Raw genomic sequence first — 14264 nt, 5'->3', positions numbered from 1 at the left:
TTGTATTTTTAGTAGCAACAGGGTTTCACCGGGTTGGCCAGGATGGTCTCAATCTCTTGACCTCGTGATCCACCTGCCTCAACCTCCCAAAGTGCTGGGATTACAGGCGTGAGCCACCACACCTGGCCTAGTGTAAGCTTTTTATTGTTAGGTAACATACATGGAGAACAGTGGACAGATCATAAGTGTGCAGCCTTATGAATTTTCACAAAGTGAACATACCTGTGTAATCAGTACCCAGATCATGAGAAAGACCAATCAGCTGCCTCAGAGGACTGCCACCCCATGTCATGCCCTAGTCATTAACTTCCCCAAAAGGTAGTCTCCATTATATTTTATCCATCTTTTAAAAACTTTCAACTGAGTGTAACATTGGCAGTGAATAAAGGATGCTCAGTGAAAGCGTGTGGCTGGAAGGAAGGGTGGGACAGAGATGTACAGGGGCTCAGCTCAACTCTGCTCCTTATGCAGCCTCATCTCCATCTGCACCATGTGCTAAAGGAAGCTACAATGCCCCCTCTCATCCCTAGCCCCAGTTTTGAAATGTTCTCTTTCCGTGTTCCCTACACATGGATCTGTCCTGATTTTGCCCTCTCAATAGTGAATCTTCTATTCCTATTCTCTTCTTCCCTCTGTCTTGGTGTTATTGGAATGCTCTAAGTCTTTCTTTAAAGTATCTGCTAGATTTTCTAATGCCTATGAACTGGAATTAGAAAATGTAATTCATTTCAATATTTTGGACATTCAGCAGTTTGCCCACTATGGCTCTAGGAAGATGACATATTCATTAGCAACATTGCCTGTTTTCAAGGAGCTTGTACCATAATTGGGAAGAAAACACAGAAAATTAAATAGTGCAGGGAGGGTGGGAGGAGGGAGAGGAGCAGAAAAGATAACTATTGGGTACTGGGCTTAATACCTGGGAGAGGAAATAATCTGTACAACAAACCTCCATGACACATGTTTATCTATGTAACAAACCTTCATATGTACCCTGAAACCTAAAATAAAAGTTAAAAAATAAAATTAAATAGCAATATGGTGCAAGTGAAAAGTACACTACATACATGACTAGAAGGTAAGAAAGAGTTAGAAGACAGTGATCTGTCAATGATACAAACACCACAGAGAAGTGTATCACATATTTTATCACTAATCTATAATATTCGAAGCAAGAACAAACATTTGGTATGGTTTTGAATTGAAGAAAGATAGAAGTACTGAAATCAAGAGGACTCACCTCATTTCCGGCAAAAAGAGAACAATAACAACAACAAAATCTTCACCTAGGAGCAAGACTGGGAAATTTAAAAATATCATGTATTAAAAAAGGTTTCAAAAATTTTCAAGAGTCGACACGAGTCACTTGCAAAAACAAAAATAAGAATTAAATCATATTTCCCACAAATGAAAATGGTTGTTAGGAGTCCTTGGAACTAGGTTCTCAATGTTTTGAGGAAAATTGATTTTGAACTTTAAATTTTATACCCACTGAAACTATCATCCGAAAGAGGAGATAAAATAAAAACAATCTCAGGTATTCAAATAGTGGGAAATGTTATCTCCTGTGCACTATTTCTGAAGAAGTTATTTAATACTATGTTCCAGCAAAATGAGCAAAAAGCCAAAGAAAAGGATGATGTGAGACATAAGAAATAATATAAAGCAACCTGTGAATGTGAAGAAAATAAATCCCAGGATAATGGTTGTACTGCAGGCTGAGGAAACAATTTTTTTCTAGTCAGAATTAAGTGGGCTCCAGAACAATGCCTCCAAAAATGAGAAAAGAATTCAATCAATATATAGAAAAAAAACTGTTAGGAAAAACACAGATATCTTTTTTCAAGAAGGAAAAAATTCTATTTTCAGGAAAAACAAAATATACAAGAAATTTGTGGCCTTACCACAAAGCAATTCCTGAGGCCTTCATCTCAAACAGGGTAAATGCTGGTCTTCACAATGTTGACAAGGCCCCATTTGAGCTGGCCTCTCACTCTCTTTCTGACGTCTTCTCCTACTACTCTTCTGCTACTTTACATTGCTCCAGCCAGAATGGCCACCTTGCTTCAGAATCTGCTGCAACAACTTAGCCAAGGTCATGCTTCCACTTGGCAGCCTTTAGGCAATGATGGAACATGGCATGGGGACTGAGGCCTGGCCATTTCTGCCCCATACAGGGCTCCTATGGGCGATCTTCTGAAGAGCTCCCCATTGGATGGGCAGAGGTTTTGTGTGCCCTGCATGGCAGTTGGAGGCTTTCTCTCTCCAGCCCTGCTTCTTTCACTGGTCTTACTCCTCCTCCACCCCCCAGTAAATATCTGCTTCTTGGTGGAACTGAAACGACACAGCCCAGCCACACATGGATGCCCTATTTTAGGTATAAACCATCATAAGCCCATGTGGTGCACTCACATCACCATTTGTCATTGAAAATATTTGGTCAGTGCCAGTTGGACATTCATGAGGTAGCTCTACCTCTGTGTCACCTTGGAAGAAAATAGTCTCTCAATGGGGGAAGGAAGGATGGTTTTGGGCACCAGTACCTCACCTTTGGGAAGAAAAAAGAAGAGATACTATGAGAACAGGAAGGGTCTCCATTCTTTTCTTAGTTAATATTTTTAATCTGTTAACTTAAAGAGAAGCAGGGGTCATCTATTATGTATTTGAAACACATCCTGGTTTACAAACTATGTCCACATCTACACCTTCCTGATTCCCCCATCAACCCCATGATTTTAACCCACATTTCACTGACAAGAAAACTGAAGTTCACACAGGTATGCCATCTGCAAAAATTCCAGAGTTAGTGAGGGTGGAAGCAGGGCTTGCAAATCCATGATTTCATCTGGGTCTCACAGAGACTTAAATGAAATTACAGTAATTTTTTTTAAGAAAAAAATTTTTAAGTAGTTATAGGTTCATGGCAAGATTGAGAAAGGCATGAGATATCCTATATGCTCTATCCCCCCATGCACAACCTCCCTCATTAACAACATCCCCCACCAGAATGGTACATTTGTTACAATTGATGAACCCACATTGACACATCCTAGTCATTCAAAGTTCATAGTTTATATTAGAGTTCACTTTTGGTGATGTAAATTCTATGGGTTTGGATAAACATATAATGACATGTATTCATTATTGTATTATACAGAGTAGTCTCACTGCCCTAAAACTCCTCTGTGCTCCACCTAGTCATCCCTCCTCTGCCCCAACCCATGGCAATTGCTGATCTTTTTTTTTATTTTTTGAAATGTAGTCTCACCCTGTCTCCCAGGCTGGAGTGCAGTGGTACAATCTCTGCTCATTGCAATGTCCGCCTTCTGGGTTCAAGCATTTCTCTTGCTTTAGCCTCCTGAGTAGCTGGGACTACAGGTGTGTGCCATCACACCCAGCTAATTTTTGTGTTTTTAGTACAGACAGAGTTTCACCATGTTGGCCAGGCTGGCTTCAGGTGATCTGTCCGCCTCAGCCTCCCAAAGTGCTGGGATTATAGGCATGAGCCATGGCGTCTGGCCTGATCTTTTTATTGTCTCCATAGTTTTGTCTTTTTCAGAAGGTCAGCTAGTTGGAAACTTATAGTATGTATCAGACTGGCTTTTTTCACTTAGTAATATGCCTTTAAATTTCCTCCATGTGTCTTTTTCCTGGCTTTTCATGGCTTGGTAGCTCATTTCTTTTTAGCACTGAGTAATAATCAATTGTCTGGATGTACCAAAGTTTATTTATCCATTCACCTGTAAAGGACATCATGGTTGCCTCCAAGTTTTGGTAGTTATTAATAAAGCTGCTATAGATACCCATATGCAGTCTTTGTGTGGCCCTAAGCTTTCCAGTTAGGGAATTTTTAATCACCCATGCTTCATAAAGGAGAGCATGTGGCTCAGAGATGTTCAGGGACCTGTGCCAGGTGGCATAGCTCAGACTCCCCACAAAGACCTAGTGTCTATTCTGGTATGTGGTCCTGCCATTCAGATAGTGATGCTGTCAGTTCTTGCACTGATAAATAGTAATTAATTAGCAGTAATCAGAGTGAGGGGCTAATAGTTTGGAGAAAAACAGAAGCCATTAAAGAGTAGATTCAGCACCATCACTGACTTTGTTTCATAATGTTTATTTTCCATTCATATGGCACTCAGCATGCCTCATATATTTTTAATGAGAACATTCTATTAAAGCCAATGGAATTGATTTTTAAGGAAGCATTAGGACCAGCAAAATGTGCCTCCCGTGCAGTATTGACTAAGATCCATTATCCTACCACATTCATTCTGACCTTATCATCAGCTGACAAAGAGAAATAGGACATTAGTGTGTTTACAAAAACCTGTATCTGAGAATGGGCAAAGGCTGGAGCCCACTGTGGCTATGAGCATGTGCCTCTCCTGAATGGCCTTGCATAAAGAGCCGGCCACAGAGTCGGTCTGTGCATGGGCAGAGTGAGGCATTCGAGGAGTCCCTTGGCCTCCACATGCTCCTCCTCTGTACTCTCTAGGCCCAGTGTCTTACCAGCTGCAAGTCATCAATGGCCCTCAGAGCCCAAAGCAGAGTGCTATGAACAGGCTCTGGCTCCAGATACTCTTTGTGCCTCAATTTCCTCCCCTGTGAAATAGGGATCATTATCATACTTATATAGTTTTTTGGGGAGGACTAAATTAGTTAATATACGTGAAACATTTAGAATGGCACATGGCATGTAATTTGAGCTACAGAAGTGTTAGCTTTTATTACTATTGTTGTTTTTACATCTACAAGAAGGAAAGCATCATTAAATCTATCAGAAGCAAGGTACAGATTCTCCATGTGGTTCCTTAGGTGACGACGAAGAGATTATACACAGATTATCTTCAGGAATAGAAGTTGATGATAAGATAGAGAAAATTTCCTCACCAGGAGTCTATGGACTGCCTCTGTTTGTTCAGGAGTATGACTGATAACTTTAGGTTGTAAAGGGTGTGACCCAAGGGTCAATAACTTTAAGTCTCAAAATGCCGTTGCTAGCTACCTTTTATGTTTGCTGGGTCTTTCACCTGTGGGGACTATCAAGCCTTTGAGCCTTTATGGGTTTGGATGTATAAGTCTTGGGCAGAGCTAAGTTGTCTTGGATATGAAAGCATGAGGAATTTGAGGTTCTGATAATAGTCAGGTGTCAGCAAGTTGGTGTTTGACGGTAGGCTGAGGTGAAAGACAGATATCAAAGTAATCACCACTAAACACAGACAGTGATAAGGCCAAGGAAGGATGTGACAGAACACTTAATGTGGAATTCTGAGTGGCTTGGAGCAGGACTCAGGACATTGGTTCCTTCCTCTGTCCTTCCCAAGAGCTCTTCAGGTGAACTGCAAAATTCATGGAGAGGTAAATATTGGTCTTAAAGAGCAATCAAAGACATGGAAATGAAAAGAATCACAAACAGTACTCTACTATTAAAACAGTAAAAATAATGGCATCATTGTGATAAAATAATTTCTCCAGTATTGCTCATGTCAGGGTTATCTTGCAATCCTTTGGGTAAATAATTGACAATCTATATTAAGGTTATAAAGCATGTATATCCTTGAATGTTAATCCTTCTTCTGGGAATTTACCCCAAGGAAATAGTTTAGAAGAAAAAAATTCTCAGTTATGGAAGATGTTAAATGTTGATTGCAGAATTAACTTTAATACGAAATAAAGGAACAGACCAAATCTTGGAAAAATGGTCACATAAAGAATTTTATAACCACTCTATGGAGACCTAGGTGGTTATTACAATGGTAATTTTTAAAGCAAAATAGAAAATGCTTATGATATAAAATTGACTATGAAAAAACAGGACAAACAATTATATTTACAGATGGTCCCTGAATTACAGTGGTTCAACTTTATAATTTTTTGACTTTAGGATGGCGTGAAAGTGATACTCCTTCAGTAGAAATATATTACACTTATTTCATGACAATGGGCAGTGGCAGCAAGCTGTAGCTCCCAGATAGCTATGCAATTTTCATTTATAATATTTTTCAACTTATGAGTGTTCATCACAATACAACCCATTGAAAGTCGAGGAGTATCTATATACCTTAATAAGCATGTAAGCTATGCTTGCATGTAGACAGGGATTAGATAAGAATACAAATAAATGAAGCAAGGTGATGTGCTGAAGGGTGAAATAGTGTCTCTGAGTACTTCAATTTTTCAAATCCTTTATTCTTGTTAAAGTACCATAGATATTCTATTTCCTTTCTTGGCAAGGAGATGGGAAAAGGTAGGAGGCCCAGGCACTGTGGGGCTCTTGGCTAGGAGTGAGATTAGGCAAAATTCCTGGAGGTGGAATGAGAGGCATCTTGGATCTGCAGGATGGGTCAGGCTGGTTGCAAGGAGAGGGTAACTCTGCAGGGCAAGTTTAGGAATCTAGACAAGATGGAGCACAACAGATAAGATTCTCAAAGGAAGAGAAATGGTTGGGGTCTTTTGAGGGCACTCATCTTTGGGGAGAGAACCAAGCAGGACAAAAAGTCAGAGAGGACTCCACGGTGGTAAGTTCTGTGCTTATCCCATATTGGCTTTTCAGGAGGCTGGTAACCTGTTTAGCGGCTTTATCAAGGTGGAAGTTGAATTCCCCTAATAACCCTTTTGTTTGAGTCCTTCCCAGCTGTATAGATACTAGAGTTGCCCATGACATTGCTAAGAGCCAGGAATCCCTGTACCATATACTCTGATTCCTAGTTCTGGGCTGCTAGAGTAGATCACCAGAAAAAGTGGATGGTACATTGTCCATGCAAAGGGCGAGGTATAAATGTGGGGACTATTTGGCAGAGGCAACGGGAGTCAAAAGTTACTGGGCTGATGATGTCTATGATACAGCAAGAGTATTTGGGAAAAGGCACAAAAGGATATAAGAGGAGCAAAGGGATGCAGGGGCTCATATCTTTTCTGATTCTTGTTCACATGTCCAGAGGAGAGCAGTTGCCATGTTGCCTAAATAACGTGACCCTTACTTCCTTCCCTCTTTCCATCTCTTAGCTGGGGTAGTGCTTGCCTTTAGAGCAGTGGTTCTCAATTAGGAGTAATTTATCCCCCAGGGACATTTGGCAATCTCTGGAGACATTTTTTGGTTGTCACGAGCAGAAGGCGGTGCCATAGGCATTATCTAGTGGGTAGAGGCCAGGGATGCTGCTAAACATCCTACTATGCACAGGACAGGACTGCACGACAAAGAATTATTCAGCACGGAATGCCAATAGTGCCCAGGTTGAGAAACCTTGCTTTAGATCCAGGACAGGACTGCACAACAAAGAATTATTCAGCATGGAATGCCAATAGTGCCCAGGTTGAGAAACCTTGCTTTAGATCCAGGACAGGACTGCACAACAAAGAATTATTCAGCACGGAATGCCAATAGTGCCCAGGTTGAGAAACCTTGCTTTAGATCCAGGACAGGACTGCACAACAAAGAATTATTCAGCACGGAATGATGTCAATAGTGCCCAGGTTGAGAAACCTTGCTTTAGATCCAGGACAGGACTGCACAACAAAGAAGAATTATTCAGCACGGAATGTCAATAGTGCCCAGGTTGAGAAACCTTGCTTTAGATCCAGACTTCTTACTGGAATGCTCTACACCATGGCCAAGAGGAAATAAAGATAATGATGATGATGATGATGATGATGATGATGATGGTGGTGGTGGTGGTGTCCCATACTTATAAAGCATTCACAATTATTTATGCACTTTTGCATACATTAATTCATCAGCTCCTTTCAATCCATTGAGGTGGGTAGGAATTATGATTCCTATTACTCCTTTTTTTGAAGTAAGGAAGTCTGAGTTGGGAGAGGGCAGTAATGTGTCCAAGGTCACACAGCTAGCATTAGGCAGAGATGAGGATAGAAGCATTTGTGTCTCATGACTTCTAACTGTATGCTTTCTCCCACTGCACTCTGTTGAACTCTGTGGACAGAAAAAGAGAGAAAGGCTAAATGATGCTCTTAGACTCTGAATCTGTCCAGGGCTTTACAATTAGTGGTGGAGCCAGAATTCCTCATTCCCAAACTAACAGAAACAAACACACCTAAGAAAGAATGAAAGGGTATGTGGTATTATAACTGAGGCCATTGTGGTGTTGAGAATTTAGCTGTGTATCTAATTCTTCCAGGCATTTTAGATCAAGTAGAAATCCATGTGCAAAGGGCAACACTCATTAACTTTTTATCTCCAGTAGTAGATACTCCACTGTAACTATTGATAGCTGAAAGTTTTATAGATCTTCCCCTGGGGCTAAGTATGAAGTAAGTGTAAACTTGTTTGGTATTTTCATTATTTGCCAAACAAAAAAAAAGCCCCAGAAAATAAAAAGCCTCAATTGCATCCCAAGCATGTAGGGTGGAACTGATATTCACTAGTTTTCATGAAGCCCCGCATCCCCAACCAATGTTATCCCCAAGACACCAAGTATGACACCAGCAGCCCCCTTAACCGAGGACAATGTTGTCCCTTTCTTTAAGAGTATCACAGACAAAGGTTGGAAACCCAATTGATTAATTATTCGCTGGAATATAAAGTTGGCATTGTAAAATTTGCAGCTATAAAATAATCAAGAATGGCACTTAAATGGCTGCCCAAATGGCCAAGTTAAACCGTCCGACATTATAGAGATAGAGCATAGAGGAATCTGAGTGAGAAGTGAGAGGCAGAGCCAGGGGAGGGCTGGCTCAGTGACACTGTTAGAGAATGACCTGTGGCCCCCTGGGTGAGTAACGTTCCTCTGAGCACCGTAAATTTGTGTATTCAATCGGGGTTGGGTTGTGCTATGAGTAACAGATATTTTAATAGGAACACTTTCACCTGGAAGACATCAAAATGCTGCTTCTTGTATTACTGTGAATGGGTACTACACTTCCATAAAAGGTGAGGTCCAGGATGGGAGAAAGCTCTGGGGCTCCACCCACGTCAGAAACACCTAGAAGTAGACTCAAAGGCTGCTGGGAACACCCTTGAGGTTTGTCCTGTCTGCTTCGCTTGGTTCCATCAGAACTACTTGGCCCACATGGCCAGAAACTCCTGCACCTCACATCTCAGAACTTTGCCACCAGAGAGGGGCTGATTCTTCTTAACCAGATCCACTGAGAAAAACCCAAGGGATAGACCCTAATTAATCACATGAGTCCCATGCCCTAGCACTAGGTACTAGGATAAGCTGTTCTCTCCGGAAGTTTGGAACAAAAAACCAAACTTATAGCAGTTACTGTTCCAAGTACTCATATTTACTCACTGAATCCTCGTCACAGCATTATGAGGTACCCCATGAGATCGTCACTCTTACAATCAGCTCTATTCTAGGGATGAGAAAACTGAGACACAGAGAGATAAAGGGACTTGTTCAAAAGCACATAGCTAGTAAATTGTGGAGCTGAGATTAGGGAGGTTAAGCCCCACTGGAGGCAAAGTTCTGAGATGTGAGATGCAGGAGACTCTGACTGTGTGGGCCAAGTGGTTCTGAGAGAACAAAGCCATCCCACATTACAGAGAGATAACACAGAGAAATCTGAGTGAGAAGTGGAAGGCGGGGCCTGGGGAGGGCTGGCTCAGTGACACTGTTAGGGAATGACCTATGGTGCCCTGGATGAGTAGGGCTCCTCTGAGCACTGTGGATGAGGGTACTCCATCATGGTTGGGTCATGCTATGAGTAACATATCTTAATAGGGCCATTTTCACCTGGACAAAATCCAGACAATTTTGATCCGAAGTTGTGCTTTTTACCACAATTCCACACCACCTCTCACTGTATGTTAGAGGCGGGAGAAAGAAAAGCTGCCCCCAAAAAGGGGGATATTGTTCCCAGAAGAAAGGAGGAGTAGGTGAGCAGAGAAAGCAAGGGAGATCCACTACTTATTCCTCAGTCTTATTATCTGTAGAACGGGGATGGCATGGACTCCATGTCCTTGCGGTGCAGGTGAAATGAGCAAAGACGCAGGAGAGGCAGAGTGTCTGAGGGCAGCACCCACCAAAACCCATACATCCATCCTTATCCAAGCACACTCCACCTTGCACCAGCATCAGCACCTCACGCTGAGTGGTTACTGCATGGTCAGTGTTTGTTTTCGTTTTACTCTCTCTGAGTGTTTGAAGTGTCCCTTTGAAAACTCTAGGAGCTTGCGCTAAAGGGAAAGGAGAGAGGGCTGTGTCCACGCAAAACAGGGGAAACCATGTTCTTCGGGGGCCCATTTGAAGATGGCAGCAGGAATGGGGGAGCAGAGACCCCTAGGGAGGAGATGAGATGCAGGAGGGGCATTTGGGCCTTGGGGCTGGTTCACTGCTTCTACGTAAAAGCCCACCTTTGAACGCTGCAATCTTGGGGGCCCTGTGTTTTGTCGTAATGAGGAAGCTGGGAGCCCTCAGAAGGGCGTAAAGAATTTCTCGTGGCTCTATGACTTACACTGCCTCAGTGCTTGCCTTGCACTGAAGCAGGCCCCAAGGTCAGATGTGAATAGGTTTGTTTGAAGGTGAACAAGTGAAAGTGAAAAAGTAAAAGCCTGGGGTTAGGCCACACCTCAGCTCCCAGCTTCTGGGGAGAAGGGAGATTTGAACAGCTTGGAGCCCACAGGCATCCTGGAAGAACTCCCATGGCTTTCTTGATAATTGACACAGTGTGCAACTTCTGCTTATTCAGGCCCAGAGGCCTGGGAGGGTAGGAGTAGAGAGTGGGGTAAGGGTGGTGGATGGAAGGAAACTTAGTGGGAAGCAGGTGTATTACCGGTGGAGGGTGTCCAGGTTCTTGGCATCTTGAACAAAGAATTGGACAAAATGCACATTCAAAGCAAGGAAAGAATGAAGTAACAAAAGCAGAGATTTATTGACAATGAAAGTACACTTCACTGGGTGGGATCCGCGGGAGTACATGGGCTCAAGAGCCTGGCTACACAATTTTCTGGGGTTTAAATACCCTCCAGAGGCTTCCCATTGGTTACCTGGTGTACACTCTATCTATGTAAATGAAGTATTGGGCTGCAATCAGAAGCTGAAATGAAGTTGCAAAGGTTACACCCTATGCAAGCTCTGACTGGTTGCAGAAAGCAATCAATCAGAGGTAGTTTCAATTTTCCATCTTCCATGCAGAAGCGGGTGGGGGCTTTTGTTAGTTAGGTGTGGAAAGTTGGAGTTTTCCTTTTGATTTAGTTCTAGTGTAGCAGGAGAAGCCGCAGACAAAACCCCTCAGACACTGAGTCAAAGAAGGAAGGGCTTTATTCGGCTGGGAGCTTCAGCAAGACTCATGTCTCCAACAACCGAGCTCCCCGAGTGAGCAATTCCTGCCCCTTTCAAGGGCTCACAACTCTAAGGGGGTCCGTGTGAAAGGGTTGTGATCGATTGAGCAAGCAGGGGGTACATGACTGGGGGCTGCATGCACCAGTAATTAGAATGAACAGAACAGGACAGAGCTTTTCACAGTGCTTTTCTATACAATGTCTGGAATCTATAGATAACATAACCGATGAGGTCAGGGGTCGATCTTTAACTACCAGGCCCAGGGTGTAGTGCCGGGCTGTCTGCTTGTGGATTTCATTTTTTGCCTTTTAGTTTTTACTTCTTCTTTCTTTGGAGGCAGAAACTGGGCATAAGACAATATGAGGGGTGGTTTCCTCCCTTACTAGGAAGTCAGAGTGAATCAGCCTTAGGTTCCCTGCCTCCAGACCCTATTCTCTTGCCTCAGGTGGACTTCTGGAGCAGGGCCGCTGAAGCTCCGATTAGGCCTCTGCTTCCTCTTCCCGGTGGTTTTTTCTCTTTCTAACCTGTAGGTCCATCCTGACTTTGTCCTTTCTGGGCTTGCCATCCACAGCACATTTGTAAAGAGGAGTAAGAGTTTTAAGTAGAGTTCTACAGCCATGGCTGCTTACTGTAAGCAAAGCTGATTTATAGACTGCTTCCAAAACCCATATATCCATCCTTATCCAAGCACACTCAACCTTGCACCAACATCAGACTGCATTTCTGTGCAGACTTCACCCTACACAGGAGGCTCCAGACCCTGCATACGGGAGGGATGAAAGGTATTTTTGATTCAAGTTGTGGAAAGGAAGAAGGGAGAGAAGTTTATCATTCCTGCCAGAATTCTGTGTAAGATCAAATTCCTGCTTTAAAAAAAAAAAAAGTGGGACTCACTCCAGCTAAACAATAAATCATGAAATGGCCATGTTAATTGCTGTTGAAAAGGAGGCACTAAAATTCACTTTGATGGGAAGTTATTCTTGTTTATATTTCCTTTCTGTAGATCAAAGGGAACCACCAGCCTTAGCCTCTCCTGACATTTGCATGTCTTAAGCATTGTTCTTTTCATACAAGAAGACTCGGCATCAGATATCCATTTCCTCAGGCTATTTTAGGTAGGAATTAAAGAGATATTAGGGGAATTGGCTTTTTTTACATTTTTAAGTGTGTCATGAGTGATTGAAGAAAAGCACTTCCTTTGTTCACATATTCCAAACAGCCGGGTGAAGGCTCATAATTACTGTGGAGGAAGCTGGGAAGATGGCAACTCACCTAATCCCTGATTACATTAAACGATGCCACCCTCCTCTACTTACAAGCTTAAGTACACTGGCCTTCGCTGCCAGGTTCAGGTAAGAAGGAGTGCGGCTCTACCCACGGAGAAGCAAGGCTTTGATTTGTGATAGGCTTTCCTTGATGTAGTCTTGCTGACTATAAACATCAATTAAGCAGCTACTGTGTGATAGGAATTGCGTGAGGTATAGGGAGAGTGAAGATGAATTAGCCTCCATCCCTTCCCTCAAGGAATTCACGGTCTTGAGTCCCAAATAACTAGCCGATTAATTACAATGCAGCTTTACAGATGCTTAATCATATTTGCGCAAAGTTCTAGAGGAGCACGGATTCTGCTTTGAAGATCAGAGAAGCTGTGTCTTGAAGGCTGAGTACCTGTTCTAAGATCAAAGAAATGGAGAGGGGACTCAGGAATGGCTGAGAGGGCTCATGAGGCAAGAGGTCTGAGATGGTAAAGGACATTTGGGGGAACAGAGAGCAGTTTTATGGCCATGGCCATGGGTAAGGCACATTGGGCAGGTGTAGGGGAGGCAGCTGGTGGGTTTAGCATATAGGAAGGGGAGGAAAGAAAAGATTCTAAAGCCCTAGCAAGTCCTGTCAAGGGGTTAGGTTCCTTTTTTTTTTTTTTTTTTTATAAGAGTAGGGACCTATCCAAGTTATCTGAGAAGGGGAATGCTTGAAGTACATGATACTGTGCGTTTTTAAAAAAATAGTCACGGTATTAGTACAGAGATCAGCTTGGAAATCAGTGGGACTATTTAGAGGCAATAGTCCAGATATTGAGTTGAGAGAACTTCCAAATAATAACAGAACCAAGAATGGAGATGAACAATCTGATTCTAGAAATATCTTGAAGTTGTTTGGGAGAAGCAGAGGTTTGTTAGTGATAAAATAAAAACCTCAGCCTAATTACATTTAAAGGGGTTTAATTGAGCAATGAACGATTCTCAAGTCAGGGAGCCCCCAGAATCACAGTAGATTCACAGAGACTCCAAGGGTGCCTCATGGTCAGAAAAAATTTATAGAAAAAAAAAAGGTAGAGTGACATGCAGGAATTGGAAGTGAGGAACAGAACACAGTTTGAACACTCAGCAGTCTATGAGCAGTCTATGAAGTATGGCCGCTGGGATTGGCCAACACTCAGCTATTGTTATGGGTGCATACTATTAAGTTAGGTTTTTGATTTTGTCTGACTATTAAGCCTGGCTACAGTTCATCCACAAGGACTCAAATATAGAAGTACAGAGTCCTTCTCAGGCCATATTTAGTTTGCTTTAACATTGGAAAACCTGAGTTTAATAATTAGGTTTACCACTTACTGGCTGATTGATAGTGGGTAAGACAATCTCTCTAAGATTATGTTTTCTTGAGCTCTCAAATATGGATAATAATAATAATACTCATTTCATACATTGAGGATTGTGTGGGGGCCATGAGAAGACACTGCATAAATCAACAAGTATAGGGTGCTTTAAAGGCCGAGGATCATTGCTGTTTTTGTGCCCAGGACTTACCAGCTCCTCTAGTCAGTGACTGAACTGGGCAGGGATATTAAGGCAGGCCCATTAACAGGACACTCAGAATTCCTTTAACATCTGACTTCGGCTTCCAGACTCTCCACAGGTCTTGGTGAGCCTCTTTTAGACTCTCTGGTGCACGGGACGATTCCATCCAACCTTCTCTTCCTCTCCCCTTCACTGAGGGAGACTTGGGTCGTGTTCT

At 42.6% G+C, this 14264-nt stretch overlaps 2 annotated features.

Moving 5' to 3' along the window:
• Window positions 11999–12514: an enhancer, noted in NCBI's record as "NANOG hESC enhancer chr15:82051007-82051522 (GRCh37/hg19 assembly coordinates)". NCBI's record gives its function as "activates a minimal SCP1, AML or CMV promoter by ChIP-STARR-seq in naive H9 embryonic stem cells {active_cell/tissue: H9 hESC(naive)}" and the evidence as "EXISTENCE:reporter gene assay evidence [ECO:0000049][PMID:30033119]".
• Window positions 12515–13031: an enhancer, noted in NCBI's record as "NANOG hESC enhancer chr15:82050490-82051006 (GRCh37/hg19 assembly coordinates)". NCBI's record gives its function as "activates a minimal SCP1, AML or CMV promoter by ChIP-STARR-seq in primed H9 embryonic stem cells {active_cell/tissue: H9 hESC(primed)}" and the evidence as "EXISTENCE:reporter gene assay evidence [ECO:0000049][PMID:30033119]".

This window comes from Homo sapiens, chromosome 15 (assembly GCF_000001405.40).
Source record: "Homo sapiens chromosome 15, GRCh38.p14 Primary Assembly".
Classification (NCBI taxonomy): domain Eukaryota; kingdom Metazoa; phylum Chordata; class Mammalia; order Primates; family Hominidae; genus Homo; species Homo sapiens.
This window is presented reverse-complemented; position numbering and strand designations above follow the sequence as displayed.